The sequence below is a fragment of the Homo sapiens genome, chromosome 16, assembly GCF_000001405.40.
Source record: "Homo sapiens chromosome 16, GRCh38.p14 Primary Assembly".
Lineage (NCBI taxonomy): Eukaryota > Metazoa > Chordata > Mammalia > Primates > Hominidae > Homo > Homo sapiens.
In genome coordinates, this window is record NC_000016.10 from 47480070 (window position 1) to 47496109 (window position 16040).

The 16040-nt window shown below is 36.6% G+C and overlaps 1 protein-coding gene across 3 annotated transcripts in view, besides 2 other annotated features; it reads left to right on the plus strand.

Moving 5' to 3' along the window:
• PHKB (phosphorylase kinase regulatory subunit beta) overlaps nucleotides 1–16040 on the plus strand; it is a 240225-nt gene that overhangs the window by 18771 nt on the left and 205414 nt on the right. The window lies entirely within an intron of this gene.
• Nucleotides 12034–12556: an enhancer, noted in NCBI's record as "H3K4me1 hESC enhancer chr16:47526014-47526536 (GRCh37/hg19 assembly coordinates)". NCBI's record gives its function as "activates a minimal SCP1, AML or CMV promoter by ChIP-STARR-seq in naive H9 embryonic stem cells {active_cell/tissue: H9 hESC(naive)}" and the evidence as "EXISTENCE:reporter gene assay evidence [ECO:0000049][PMID:30033119]".
• Nucleotides 12848–12917: an enhancer, noted in NCBI's record as "active region_10786". NCBI's record gives its function as "activates an Ori minimal core promoter by ATAC-STARR-seq in GM12878 lymphoblastoid cells {active_cell/tissue: GM12878}" and the evidence as "EXISTENCE:reporter gene assay evidence [ECO:0000049][PMID:35858748]".

The window sequence follows — 16040 nt, forward strand, 5'->3', positions numbered from 1 at the left end:
GTTTATCGTTCATGACTACAGTAATTAGTGATCCCTTCTGTGTCCTGAGGATCATGTAGTTCTCCTTTCAGTAGGGAGCTCTGCTTCAGGATGTAATGACTGCCTCCATTTTCAGAGAGTTGCCTAACCAATTGAATGGAAATCAGAGGTATAACTGGTTAGCACTAGAAGTTAAGCTGATTTCCGCCCGAGTCCAGTTTATTTTTCCACATGTGTATCTTTGAGAAACTGATGTGCTAATTGCTTAAAGGTCTTTGTGGAGGCTCTTTCTGATGCTGGTGGGATTGGGTTCCTTCCAGCCTCTTTCATATTTCATGCAGCTTATAATTTAAAAGAGAACAATAGTATTAAACACTGGCTTTAGAAGTTCTTTTTTTCCTAAGTATCCTTGTAAGATTCAACAATATTATGGAATGACCGTAAAAATAGTGGTAGGTGCTTCAAGAAATATAATTTTCTTTGAAAAGTAGAGGAAACAGCAAACAGTCTTCAAACTAACTACAAAAAACTGACAAGTTCAAGGCTGATTTCCATTGTAGTTTCATGTTACAGAAGTAGTTTAGTTTCATTTGCTGTAGTATAAGCTGAGTACCTTCAATATCCATTGTCATAACTCCAGTTTTCATTTCAATTTTTTGCTGCAATAAAATTCTTATAACTAAATTATAATGCAAATTAAAGTACTGCAAAATTTTAATAGACGTAATGTTCACCCATAGTCACATTCTTTCAGTTTCGTATTACATAAAAAACTAATAGTCCATAAAAATATGGTAAAGTTAAGCTACACTTAGAATAGACATGAAAAAAATTTTAAGCCAAACTAGATGGTCTGAATAGCATATTGAATGATGAATTAGAACTTAAAGAATGCCTATTATAGCTTTCCAGTTCTGTAATTTTAAATGTATTTATTAGAAAGTAGATTAATTTACATTTTGATGTCTTCATTATAATGTGGATGTGACAACTTCGTACTCATTTTATACTTCTCTATGAGATATTTGGTTCCTCTCCCAAGGGTCGTGAGTTTGCTTTGTCTCCCACAGAGACAGCATGGTTTTCTGGGATGTTTGACAACTAGCTTTAGTTAGGCATGACGGTTGTTAGTGACTTTTCGTGAAATTAAGGTTAGCTCTGAATAGTCATGCTTCAGAAATGATCATTCATTTTGGTTATGAAATTTTTCTTGAAGACTTATTAGCATCACTCCTGTGTAGCACAGGGTCATATTTTATTGGCGCTTTTATCCCTCATCTGACATAATTAATGCTCTTCCCTCTGGCATGGTTAGAAAAAGTGGTAATCTTGGTTTTCTGCAGCTCCTGCTCATAATCACTAAACTACCCATTGCAGCCCAAGGCTGCTTTAACTTCACATTATTTCACTTAGTTGTCTTTTTCTGTTTTTAAAAATTACTGATTATTTAATTTGCTGATTTAAAAATCATTATGTGGGTCATCCATTCTTGGATTGATCAAGAGGATTCTGACATTAACCTGACAAAGCCAATTAATCCAGAAACCATTGGTTTCCCACATTGTGCCCCAGTCCTGTCCTAAGTGCTGAAGTAGATGACAAAATTTAAGGCAAAGAAGAGAAGACAATTCGTATTTAATATGCACTGTGTGTTGCTTTATTTAAAATATTTCACTTAAGCCTCACAACATCCCTGTGAGGTTATATAATTTTCTCCACTTTTCAGATGAGAAGACCTAGCTCAGAGAGAGCCCAGGTCTTGAAAGTTACAAAGTGATACAGCTGTGATTGCAGCCCAGTTCTTCCTGTTTTCAAAACGCTTGTTGTTTCCATGACCTTTTAGCTATGAAGACCTTCCATGACCTTTTAGCTATGAAGACCTTCTGTGACCTTTTAGCTATGAAGACGTTCTCCCCTCCAGCAGTTTGTTGATACTCTGAGGGCTGGGGTAGGGGAAGGCAGTTTCTCTCTTTTACTTGATTTAACATTGGGTTTAACCTTATTCACTAAAGAATGAAAGCTGGCTTGTGAAAAATGTGGCTTGGATTCCGTATGAGAAAGTTTGGTCAGTTAACGATTATACTATAGGTAGGTCTTTGCAAGGCACTTCCTTAGACGGATTCTCAGGACAGCATTGGAGCAAATCACTGAAGTCTAGGGGTTGTACGTAAGTATAGTGTGGGAAAGGCTAATGCCATCTCTTCCTTGTTTCACTTAGCCAATAAACAAAACTTCAGTGTGTTTCTATTGGAAGAAAATTAACTAGCATTCATTACCTACAAACTCTGTACTGTCCTTCAGAAGTATATCTAGTTTTATTCTGGTTTTTATTTACAGTCAGCTTACTTTGCTAATTTATAGTTTATTGTGTTTTTTCCTGCTAACATTCAAGACTTCCCATATTCATTTTAATTATACAGATTATAATTTCTATACAATTTCTAATTGTAGTAGTAACATTCACATTAAATGTACTGCTGAATTTTGCCAAGACAAGAATATAGAACAGGCTTCATCAAAGTGTAAATGAGAAGTGGAAATGGTTTGGGTCTATTTTTCAAAATGCTGAATGACTTGAAAGTATTACTTCTGTACGACTTGCGTAGAATAATGTATGACACAATAAAATGCCTAATATAACATCTTTATCAGTATAATAACAAGACATAATACAATTAATTTTTTTTTTGAGATAGGTTCTGACTTTATCACCCAGGCTAGAGTGCAGTGGCAGTGATCTCCGCTCACTGCAACCTCTGCCTCCTGGGCTCAAGCGATTCTCCCACCTCAGCCTCCCATGTAACTGGGATTGCAGGCACACACCACCATGCCTGACTAAATTTTGTATTTTTAGGAGAGATGGGGTTTTGCCATGTTGTCCAGGCTGGTCTGGAGTTCCTGGGTTTAAATGACCCACCCACCTTGGCCTCCCAAAGTACTGAGATTATAGGTGTGAACCACCATGCCTGGCCTATTAAATAATTTCTTTTTTTTTTTTTTTTTTTTTGGAGACAGAGTCTCATTCTGTCACCCTGGCTGGAGTGCAGTGGCGTGATCTCAGCTCACTGCAACCTCCACCTCCTGGGTTCAAGCGATTCTCATGCCTCAGCCTCCCGAGTAGCTGGGATTACAGGCGCCCACCACCACACCCAGCTAAGCTTTGTATTTTTTGTATTTTTAGTAGAGACGCGGTTTCACTATGTTGGCCATGCTGGTCTCAAACTCCTGACCTCAGGTGATCCACCTGCCTCGGCCTCCCAAAGTACTGGTATTATGGGTGTGAGCCACCACACCTGGCTCTTTCTGTAAAGATTTAAAGTAGTATATAGTGAAGTTCTTTTCCCCTCCATATAATTCAGTTAATATGGTGAACTAAGACTCTGTCATTTAAGCCTTAGAAGTTTGGAATTTTAAATTTTTACTTGTAGTATAAGTATGAAATAATGACCCTGAGTTTCTCTTGAGAAATCTTATTATGTGTTCAGATTAGTATTATTCTCTATAAAGTGATCCACTTGTAAGGCTACATACGTTTATTCTAGTGGTGCTGCCATTGGTCAAATCGTTTTTTAATCATCTTTTTATATCATTCCCATCTCCGTTTATAAGCAATAGAATAACAGAACATAAGAGAATAGAATAGAACACACTCAATAGAAGAGAACAATGAATTACCTTATAGTTATAGTTAAGGTTATTGATGAGTGAGTCTTCACTTCATCTGCACTGATTCGTCACCTTATTCATTGTGGCTGAGTCACAGTAACTTTTGGTAAGGTTTAGACATCAGAGTATAGTAATTTCATTTTGTTAGTAAATACTTATTAAGCACTCACTATGTGCCAGGCACTGTTGGCACTGGGGTTACTTTGGTGAATAAAACAATTGCCATTTATAACATTAAATAACCACTTCTAAATGCATTTGTTTCCTAAAAAGGAGTTCCAAAACTTTATAGAAAGATTAGAATTGTCAGAATACAGCTCTGACCTCACAGAAATCATACAAAATCATAGTATATTATGGGAAGGTAGTATAAATAAGAAAGGAAAATGAAATAGCTAGTTGAGTGATTGCTATTCATAAGGTCAACACATGAAACATCAACCAGGTTTAATATCCTGAAATAGATTTTATAGGCCATGTTCTTTCTCTAAAGGTCACTGGAAGAACTTAATACCTTTTTATTAAAAATAAAATGGGAATGGTGGAATGGGCTTTTCACATATTATTTGGATAAGTTGAATAGGCAAATTTTGCTTCCTTTTTATGAAGTTATATTATTTCATATTTGCCATTTCTTATTTTACATGTGAAATATGTTTCTTACCCACCTTGCTATCCATCATGGAGAAACGTAGACTCTAAATCTTGAGGGTTCAAATGAAGTATAATAATAAATAGGAGTTGTTAAATAAAAGTATGTATATATGTATGTATGCATATACAAATAATTTTGGAGCAATCTCCTGTTTAAAGCAGAAAGTGAAAGCAAGGATTAAAGGCTCAATGCTTCTCAGTGAAGCATTTTTTTTGGTGAGGTTTCATAGTATAAGGAAAAGTGCACATGTACAGTTTGTCTTCACAGAGCCCTGTTTTCAAATTCAGACTGCCATTTAATAACTTCTCTGTGCCTCCATGTGGTATGACAAAGCCATTGTCATTTATTTATCTAGAGATACCAGTCTCACAGCTTTGTCAGGATGATGGGATGGAATAATGTATATAAACTATCTTGTGCAATGCATAAGTAGTTAGGCATTCAAATTTCCTTTTTCCATTTAAAAAATTGCACAAGTAGTAAATGCATATAATATTTTCATATAGCATTTTTACAATCAGAACTATAAAGAATAAAAATCACACTCCTTTCCCTAGTGGTAATCATTTTTAACAATGTGGTGTGTATCCTTCTAGGCATTTTAAAGTACTTAGTTATCTATATATGCATGTACATTTCAAATGTTATACATATATAGTTATTGTTGCTTAGCTTTTCAACACCTAGGATCATGCTAAACATCTTTTCTTCTGTAACATTACTTTTCCACACTGTATTTAGTCTTTCATAATCATATAGAACTACCTTATTCCTTAAACTGTCTTAACATACTTCATTGAATGAAGGTGTCATAATTTATTTATTTATTCCTCCATTGAGAGCACATTTATTCCATAATATTTTAAATTTCGGTGTATGGTGGAACTGTGCAGAAAATAAATCATGGTTTAAGTTTTGTTTCTTTTGTTCTCAAAGAGATATCAGTCATCTTGAAGATGCTCACAGTGCTGAATCTATGTATAGTATATTCAAATCTTTTTAACTATAGAGGTTAAGATGCATCCATTCTAAAGTGAGGAAGACAAATTTTCCAACTTGTCTAATCATGGAAATCTTGCTCAGGAGGTGGAACTACATTATTAAATCAGAGAATGTGGATGGGACAGTAGCAGGAGATAGGGTAGTCTGTGAGAATAAATTTGTAAACTGGTCATCAAAAGTTTCCTGAACACTGCTTCTTGGTCAGGACTTCATACATAGCAGAGCAACTTCACTGCTTTCTTTGGTTCGTTCGTATTTATTTATCTAGAGATAAGGTCTCACTCTGTCGCCAGGCTGGAGTCCAGGTGCGTGATCTTTGCTCACTGCAACCTCTGCCTCCTGGGCTCAAGCGATCCTCCCACCTCAGCCTCCTAAGTAGCTAGGACTACAGGCGTGTACCAGCACACCTGGCTGATTTTTAAATTTTTTTGTACAGATGGGGTTTCGCCATGTTGCCAAGGCCGATCTGGGACTCCTGGGCTCAAATGATCCTCCTGCCTTGGCCTCCCAAAGTGCTGGGATTATAGGCGTGAGCCACTGTGCCTGGTCCCTCACCGCTTTCTGTTGAAAGTCAGTGGTTGACAAAAGATTAAAAAAAAAAAAGTAGTAAAAAGAAAAAAAAAGTTTCCTGAAACATATTTTGTCAGCTTCTGTCCTTTTTCTTCCTTCCTACTAAACATTTATTGTCACCTACCATGTATTAGATATTGTTCCTGTAATTGATCGTCTTCCAATGTAGTATGGAAAATAACACATTAATCAAATGGTGAAAATAAAATGTATTGTGATCACTTTTGATAAACAAGCAGTGATTAAGGTTGCAGAAGATCGAACAATTAACTGCTGTGGGAATTAAAGAAGGCCTCCCCGATAATGTGGATCACTCAGTTCAGTTCATAAATATTTACCGAGAACCTCCTATGTGCCAGCATTAGAGATCCAAAGTTGAGAATGTATTGGATGACTTGTCCTTTCGCTAGTTTGTATCAGTGAAGGAGTAAATCGGAATTTTAAGAAGAAGAAATTATTGCCTGAAGATGATGTAATTTAAATTTCAAAACTGCTTGAAAATATATTGTATCTTGTATAGATGAGTCATAGGACAAACATATAGACTGTTGTTCTATGGGAATGCTTGCTGTCTCAGCAGCTCAAATATTAATGCCTTAATAATTTACTTAATAAGCCAAAGATGTAGTTTGCTGATAGACTGTATGTTCATATACAAGCCTCTTTCCTCTGCTCTCCCATGCCTACCCCGTCTGCAACCTTTGTGCCCTCGTCACCCTCCTGTGTGCATGTATGAGTACCCGGAATATACAAACCTCATGGAACTATGGGACTCTTTGACCTCTATGATAAAAGATCTTCGGATTATGCTTACTTCTTGATTATCTTTTTGGGGAACATCTTGGCCTAGGGATTTGGATTATTCACTGCTTCTTTGTACATACTTCTTAGTTTGTTAACTTCTGCAACACAGTCTTCAAAAATTGTACACCTCAGGCTTTCAGAGATTTATTCCTGATTCTGAAAAATTACTGTTCTTTACATGTCCCATAACTGGAAGATTATCTAATCACAATTAGCTAAGGCAGGAGAAGAATCTGAAGTTGGAAATTAGAACTGGTGAACCTCAAGTTGCTCAGTTCCCAAAATTAGAGAATCATTAATGAAACACAGGTGGTAAACACTGACTGATTCCTTCCCTGGGGTAAGATTCTATTTTCACAGATTTGGTGTATTTTTCTGCTAGAACCCAAAACCCAAAGAAATCTGAAAGTATGTTGTTTGTATAATATTTTTAACTTCCAGTATCAGTATCCAGTAGGGAGTGCTATGTAAAATGTTTTTTAAATCAATATATTGCTTCAGGCAATGAGGATTTTTGCAGACATTAATGCAACTATCCATAAAGCTCTATTATCTAAGCTATTTGTAAACATCATATGCCTGTGATAGGTTTGAAATTGTGCCTTAAAATATTATGTCTGTGAGAAAACATACCTAGACCAAATGTTATATTATTAGGTACAAGAGTTTATATATATATATATATTTTTTTTTTCTTTCCACCTTTTATTTTAGGTTGAGGGAGTACATGTGCAGATTTGTTACATGGGAAAATTGTGTGTTGCAGGGGTTTGGTGTACAGATTATTTCATCACTCAGGTAATGAGCATAGTACCCAATAGGTAGTTTTTCAGTCTTCACCCTCCTCCTACCCTTCCACCCTCAAAGAGGCCTCTGTGTCTATTGTTCCCTTCTTTGTGTCCACAGGTATTCAGTGTTTAACTTCCACTTATAAACAAGCATATGTGGTATTTAGTTATCTGTCTTTGCATTAATTTGCTTAGAATAACAGCCTCCAGCTCCATCCATGTTGCTACAAAGGACGTGATTCCATTTTTTTATGGCTGCATGGTATTTCATGGTATATAGGTACCACCTTTTGAATGAATCCAATGTTGATGGGCTCCTGCGTTGAGTCCATGACCCTGCTATTGTGAATAGTGCTGCAGTGAACATACACATGCATGTGTCTTTATGGTAAAATGATTTATATTCCTTTGAGTATATACTCAGTGATGGGGTTGCTGGATCGAGTGATAGTTCTAAGTTCTTTGAGACATCTCTGAACTGTTTTCGACAGTGACTGAAATAATTTATATATTCCCACCAGCAGTGTATAAGCGTTCCCTTTTTTTCCGCAGCTTTGCCAGCATCTGTTATTTTTTTGACTTTTTAATAATAGCCCCTCTCACTGGTGTGAGATGGTATCTCATTGTGGTTCTGAATTGCATTTCTCTAATAATTTGTAAGGTTCAGCATTTATTCATATGCTTGTTGGCTGCATGTATCTCTTCTTTGGAGAAGTGTCTGTTCATGTCCTTTGCCCATTTTTTAATAGGGTTGTTTAGTTTTTGCTTATTAATTTGTTTAAATTGCTTACAGATTCTGGATATTAGACCTTTGTTGGATGCAGAGTTTGCAAATTTTTTTCCCATTCTCTAGATTGTCTGTTTGCTCTATCGGTAGTTTCTTTTGCTGTGAAGAAGCTCTTTAGTTTAATTAGGTTCCAATTGTCAATTTTTGTTTTTGTTTTTGTTGCAATTGCATTTGGATTCTTTGTTATAAATCTTTGCCATGGCCTATGTCCAGAATGATATTTCCTAGCTTTTCTTCTAGGGTTTTTATGGTTTTAAGTTTTACATTTAAGTCTTTAATCCACTATGAGCTGATTTTTATACATGGTAAAAGAAAGGGATCCAGTTTCAATCTTCTGCATATGACTAGCCAATTATCCCAGTACCATTTATTGAATAGGGAGTCATTTCCCCAATGCTTGTTTTCTTCAATGTTGTCAAAGATCTGGTGGTTGTAGGTGTGCAGCTTTATTTCTGGTTTCTGTAGCCTGTTCCATTGGTCTATGTGTCTGTTTTTATACTAGTACCATGCTGTTTTGGTTACCGTAGCTGCCTTGTGGTGTGTTTGAAATCAGGTAGTGTGATGCCTCCAGCTTTGTTCTTTTCTTAGGATTGCTTTGGCTATTGCCTCTCTTTTGGTTCCATATGAATTAAAAAAATTTTTTTTTCTATTTCTGTGTAAAATGTCATTGGTAGTTTGATAGGAGTATCATTGAATTTGTAAATTGCTTTGAGTAGTATGGCTGTTTTTTTATTTGTATTTGTATTTTTTTGAGACAGAGTCTTGCTCTGCCGCCCAGGCTGGAGCGCAGTGGTGCAATCTTCACTCACTGTGACCACCTCCCAAGTTCAAGTGATTCTCCCTGCCTCAGCCTCCCGAGTATCTGGGACTACAGGTGCATGCCACCATGGCTGGCTAATTTTTTGTATTTTTAGTAGAGATGGGGTTTCACCATGTTAGCCAGGATGGTCTCGATCTCCTGACCTCGTGAGGAGAACTCCAGTGAGTTTAGAATTTAATGACAAATGTGTGATATGTTTTGAAACATAATTTCTCTTCCTCCAGTACTCATTTTTGCTAAAAAACAAAACGAAACAAATCATGATAGGACTGAGTTGTTTGCAACATAGACTTTAGTCTTATACTTATCCTGACTATTTGCATAAAGTACAGCAAGAATAACTATTTCTACATAGGCTTTTTAGATTGGTTTCGATGGAACTCTGTTCCACAAGGAATCTCAGATAAGACCTTTTAAAGCTGAGCCCAGCCATGGGTTTGTATCCTCAAATACCCTGTGAGTTGGGTAACCCTCTCTTAAGGTCCCAAGATAAACTTGGAGTTCGTAGGCCTGTTAGAAAGTGACATTCTTTACTGACCATGGGTTAGGAGCACTGTACAAGAACTGCGTAGGCAATGGTATGAGGCCAGTTTTTACCATGGGGCTTTTATTAGCTATGCAAGTTGAGCTTGACTCTTTAAAGGGAAGCATACCGTTCCAGTGAAATCTTGGTAAAACAACCAGTTTCTCCAATTGTGTCCTGCTGCAAAAGAAAAATGGATTCTTATTGCACTGATGCAAACATCTATATTGCCATAAGTTAAGAATACTCACAGATAGTTTCCAGGTTCATGAGGAATCAGGCAGAGAGAAACAAACATGCTCCAAATTTTGTTCACAGGAATATACCTTACTCAATTATTAAAGGCTATAAATAGTTTAAAATAAGTTTCCTTCACACTGAAAAACAAAACAAGGATCAGCAATATTTCAAGCAGAAGTCAAAAATAATTGCTTCAGCTTTCTGAGTTCAGTCCATTTAGTTCTTGATTTCTTGATATTCATGAACATTTCAGCTCTTCATGAGTCCTGTACATTTTTTCTTTATTCCAATATTACAATCTACAAAGTTATCAGAAACCTGTATTTGAGAGCACCTGTCAAAGTTCTATCACTTACTATAAACCATCTTTTGAAAAGAATTAGAAGAAGACAACAATTATCTGTGAATAGAAATGTCCAGGGTAGTTACAGTTAGAAACATAATTGACAAAGAAGTTTGGTGATCTCTGTGGTTTATAATAGCTTAACCTTATGTTTGCTAACATATACTTAGACATTAAATTTTAGAAATTCCATACAGTTTTGGAGCAAATATTAGTATTCACCAAAATATAACCTAAAGAAGATTGAACATCATTCTGGCAATCCCATGTAACTAAACATGTCAGATGATCCTGTTTACCTCTTTTCTGGAGGCTCCAGGGGCCCTCTAAAGCCTTCCAAAAGCCAGGTATCAGGAAAGGCAATTATGAGGCTCAAGTTTGATTTTGGGAAGCCTGTTAAATATGTTAGAGGATTAACACACTTGATGTTATGAAATTGATTTCCAGATTACCATAAATTATTTGACTGAGAAATTTTAATGAAGCAAAAACCTTTTATAACCCTTTCCAAATTTTGCCAAAGGGCAGATCAGTGCCCCAAGAGTACCCTGTTGTGCTTTCATTCCAATGCTCAACCCACAGAGAAACCACATAATAACCCCCAGAACCTAGTCAACATGTTCACACAGAAAGCCTCTTCTGCAAGAATCATTTCCACGATCCTTCTGCCACTTGTTTGAACCTTCAGCTTTACCTTATCTAATTCAAAACAATTCTTTAACCCTAGCCAATACTTTACATTTTCCTATCTTCTAATAATCTTTCATTAAAAACACATTTTACTGTTCTTATACACCTAGCATGTAAATCTATTTCCAGTAGTTTCAATTATGTGTTTTAATGGTACCTCCTAGCAATTTGAACTTTAATGTAAATCCTGGCAAGTTGTTTTAATTGTGTGCCAGATACAGCCAGCATAATTGACTCCTTCCAGCATAAGTAAGGGTGTGGTTAATTCTATATGTCTATAAGGGGACAGACATATAGTTCTATATGTTTGTAAGGAAGTATATGTCCCTTACAGACATATAGAACTATGTCTATATGTCAATTGCCTTACCAGTTGTGAAGCAAGCAAGTCAAATAGTTCTTAAAACCCAAAAGGCAGTTTGTAACCTTAAAACATTTAGTGAGCCTAGTATCTAACCTGCATAATTTAGTCCTCCTATTTACATATTGGTGACATCTGCATTTTACTAATAATCTTTAAGGCTGTTGTTATTTCCCAAAGATTAAAGTCACGTGAACTAAAAGGTACCATAGCTTTTATCTTCCCTTTAAAAAATATTTCATCCAAGCACTTTTCTTCCTTTAGGCCAATTACTTAGAGGTCTTTTTATAGACATCACACTCAACACATATATAGCTACACTGACAGGCAGACTAGAAGAAGATTCAGTAGTTGCAAGACCTTTCATTTGCCAGTCTTTATGTATCTCTCATAATGTGAAGTAATTTCTGATACTCCCAAAAGTAAAAAATGCCAGATAACACAATGCAAAACAGAACAGAACCCTAAATTCTGAGAGGGATTTATCCACTTCCAGTTCCTGGGGTTTCATGAGGAAAACAGAGGTTTTTTGCAAAATGGGGTATCTGGCGCCCCGTGTTTTTCCCAAGGAGTCCCAGGCTGTTGGAGCTTGAATATCTGCTTTTAATTAAACTGACTTTTAGCCATAGCACTCTTTAATAAGGTCCTTTTAAAATTTCTTAATACCTGACTTTAGCCAGGCCAAACAGCTGATATTTCTGGCTTTCAAACTTTACTAAAGGCTCAGAGAAAGAAAATCCAAGTCAGTTTGTGGAGGGGCAGGGAATCAAAAAATGGCAAAGGTCCTGCAGATATCAAACTAGAAAGAACTCATTTCCTAAGGCAGGATTGAACTCCTGGCTGCCATTGTAAAATGGTGAGGCTAGAACAAAACATTGCCACGTGGTTGCAGGCCTTGCTCCCAAGGATGTAAAACAGAATGGAGGCCTGCCACAAAGTTTGCTATGGAAAGATGGACAAAGTACACTAGATTGGCTACAGATTAAGACCAGCCTCACAAATCCTTTTTCACAATTAAAACTCTACTGAGAATATAAACAGTGATCCTTATCATTCCTAGCCTAGTTAAAATGTCTTCTAAAAGGAAAAAAAAGCTAATTTAAAAGTCAACTGCTGATCTGGTGGAGAAAAGGAAAGAAAAAACCAGTTTAAAATGCCTAAAGAGGAACCTCTTATTTTTATGCAAATGGATGCCTCCATCAGTGAGAAAGACTTCATTACTGTTCAAGGGAGTGGGACCTTCTGGCTGGGGGAGCGGAAGGCTCTATGGATGCATGGCAGGGAGAGCTGCCTGCTGTTGGGCACCCTTGGTTCACGCACCCCAGCCTTGGCAGGGAGGGGAGGGTGGCGGGAGCTGCTGCTCGCCCTTCCGTCACAAAAAAGAAAGGAAAATGCCATGGAGACTGAGGCTGACCTTCTCAACACCTGGGAGTGACAGGGGTTGGGGCATGGTTTCCCCTGCCCTCAGAAGTCTGAGGATGAAAAGGCTTAAAAATGAGATAAAAATAGATTTGGTTTGCATCTCACTCACCCTTTCTTAAGCCCCACGTTGGGTGCTAAACTGTTGTAGGACTTTCTCCTTAGTTCACCTAAAAATGGGGTCCTTGTCACACAACCATGAGAGATTAGGCTTGCAGGCACTTTAAAGGGCAAGAAAAATTTATCGGGCAAAAAGGAAAACAAAGGTAAACAGAGAGTCTCAGCAAAGCCAAAGTCTTGCTAGCTGGCTTCCGCCTCATAGATTGAATCCTAGGTACCACCCTGGAACAGGGGAGATCAGGCTCCTCCCTCTGGCAAACAGTGCGCACTTCCTGAGGCTCCACCCCGTTGCACACTCCTCCCAGTGTGCAGGCCAGTTGGAAGTTCTCTGGGGACCTCTTTATGCTTGCTGTCTCATTCCTGAAATGAGGCCAGTACACCAGGAGCAGGAGGGGGGAAGGGAAGAGCAGTTAGAATAAACAGAAAGAGGAAGAGGAACAATTTCAGCAGCACTTTTCATTTTAAAAGTCACTTTATAAAATTTTACATTTTCCTTTTGCAAAGAAATAACTTTGTCAGAACCTCTTTTAGAAACTTCTAAGTATCATTGAAAATAGCTCTCCTAGTTATTTTATTTTAGAGCTAGCTTTTTAAAATTGAGAGTACAGATAAACTAGTTGAGGTATTTTAAAAGTACACTATTTCGACCGTTGTAATTTGGGGTCGTCTTTAGTTACGTGTGACCAGTTTTCTAAATGTTAGCATGAAGAGGCACCATAAGCATTAAATATAAATCCAGCTGGTGTTTCTAAAGGTGGGTCACCCTTTAAGGACAAAGTCTAGGTTTTAGAGATAGTTGTCCATAATTTTCGTTTTCCTTCCTGAATGACCAGAAACCTAGTGGGACTCATGAGAGCCTTTTATTATTTTGGTCACTCAAGAACATTTTAGATTTATCAATTGAACCAAGCTTCAGAATTTAACTGGTTTTTAAAATTACATGTTTTTCACTTAAGCCTCAAAGATTCACTTCCTCTTTTCAAAGACCAAAGTTTAAACTATAGAAAAGGTTGAAAAACTCCAACTAGTAGTTCAAAATAAAACCTTAACTTCAGAGAAAAATGAAAGTCACAAATCCGAGGTCAACAGATCTCTAGAGAATAACAAATGAAACTCTTGCCTTTTATAGAGCTTCACTTCCAACCTCAACTAGTTAAGAATATGTACAAATTGAATAAAGTCTTAATCCTTAATCAAGCCAGGAGGATTCAGATCCCAACAGGGGCCTTAGCAGAGATTCCTGCTGACTTTGGCAAGGTTGGGTGAAGGAGGACTTATCGTATTGGTACCAAGGTGCTGATTGCTGGTAAAGTGGTGGGGCTCTCTAGAGGTCCACTTCCGATCTCATCTAGGGTACCAAAATGTTAACCTTAAATAACTAGATTCCGAAAATGTGATTCATTATAGAGTATTCAAGCCTAAATCTATGTGGAAGCATAGATAGAAGCTGCCCTGAATATATCTTCTGATTAGCATCAGTTACAGGTGGATTTTAAAGGAAAGAGGCAGCTTCTAAGTTGTGTTTCCAGTAACTTATATTAATATAATAAAAGTTATTGATTAGCTCTATATTGTTCTTTGTATCACAAATTCCAGGAACTGGAAGATAATGGGTAAGGCAGCTAGTCAGGAACAAAAATGCCTGTAAACATGGCCCTTGGGTGTGGGTGCATAGGAAGGAAAGTGTGATTGAAGTCCCTTACTCTTGTCTTCCTGAGCCTGGTAAGTTTTGCATACCTCACCTAGCTCAGTCTGCTCTGAGCTATTTTTCTCCTATCATTGATAAGTTTTATTTTACTTTGTGATGTTTGCGTATAGACATAATGCGAATGGGAAAAGCATGGAAAAGAAAAATTAACATTTTACAATTTCATTTCAATTGGAACATTTAGTAGAATTTTCTGTTATTTTGTAGCTCTTTAATTTGCTTTGGGAATTCATGCTCTATTAATTGCTGTCTCCATTTTTACTGGCATTGATGCTTTCCAGATGTCCTATTTTTGTTTAAAATGTTAACATTGATTACTTTTCCTTTGACTTAGATTTGTGGTATTGTTTACCATAAATTGTGTAGAACATCCTTGTTAATTGTGTAGAACATCCTTGTTTAATTTTATGTAGTTACTTTAGAAACAATACAATGATGATCACTAAAATAATAACATTTATCTAACCAAGCTGTTCTTGACTTATCATGGGCGTTCTTTGAATGTATAATTTAGATGATTTTACTTTTACCCTTTTCTGCTATGCTTTGAACATCTTCTATTTTTCCTCTTACTGAATAGATACTTATTTTCTTGAGAGGTCTGATTTTCCTTTTGTTTATTTATTGTTGCCTCTAACAGAACTCCTTTTTTTTTTTTTTTAAGAAAAATTAGATGACAGAATCACTATAGTCCCTTAGTTCTTAAATATCCTAGCACTTTTAAAAATAAATATTTTTAAATCTAAAATCTTGGTATAAATATCATCAAAACAATCTCTCAAAATCAATTCACCTACCATTGTAATGCAGGTTGATTTAAGTTTGCATATTCTATATCCATATGCTCATGTATCATTTAATTTTAATGGAATTATATACTCAGCTCTTGGTGATTTATGTTTTGTATGTAAAGCAAAATACTACCTCTACTAATAGAGATCTAAATAAAAACAGAAATGTTACCCGCAATTCTTCCACCTCAGCAAAGGTGTCCCCTTTAATTTTTATATATACATATGCACAATTTATAAATTATGATTATTTGTACCTAATTTATTTTCTTTCATAGTGAATGAGCTTCACTGGGAGTGTATAGACTCCTAGAGCTTATTACCTTATGCTCTAGCAGTGGCATATTACTCCTTTCTGATTGCCAGGCTACCCATATGCTTATACCTGCCTGGAGCTAGTTGAATACAGGAAGGCAAGGGCATGACTGGAGGGGGCTGGGTCCTTTCCTTTGAAGCAGGAAAGGAGTACTGATGTTCTGTATGTTGATAGGTCTCTCCGTTCCTCACTATGGACCCATTCCTGTTGGTGCCATTGTGAATACTCTTGTAAGAAAATCTTCTTTTCGCTCAGAGCAAGTCTTATCTACAAATTACCTATCTTTTCAGCAGAAGATAATGAGACTGTTGCCTGAATGTATAGGCCCTTTCTTTACGTTCTTCTTATTGTTACTATCTGCGTAAACATAAAGGCTTCCCAAAACCTTGGCTTTAAACTAGGATGTTGGACACAGCAATTTTATGAGCATAAAGGCTTTAATTTTCTTTAAAAACAGA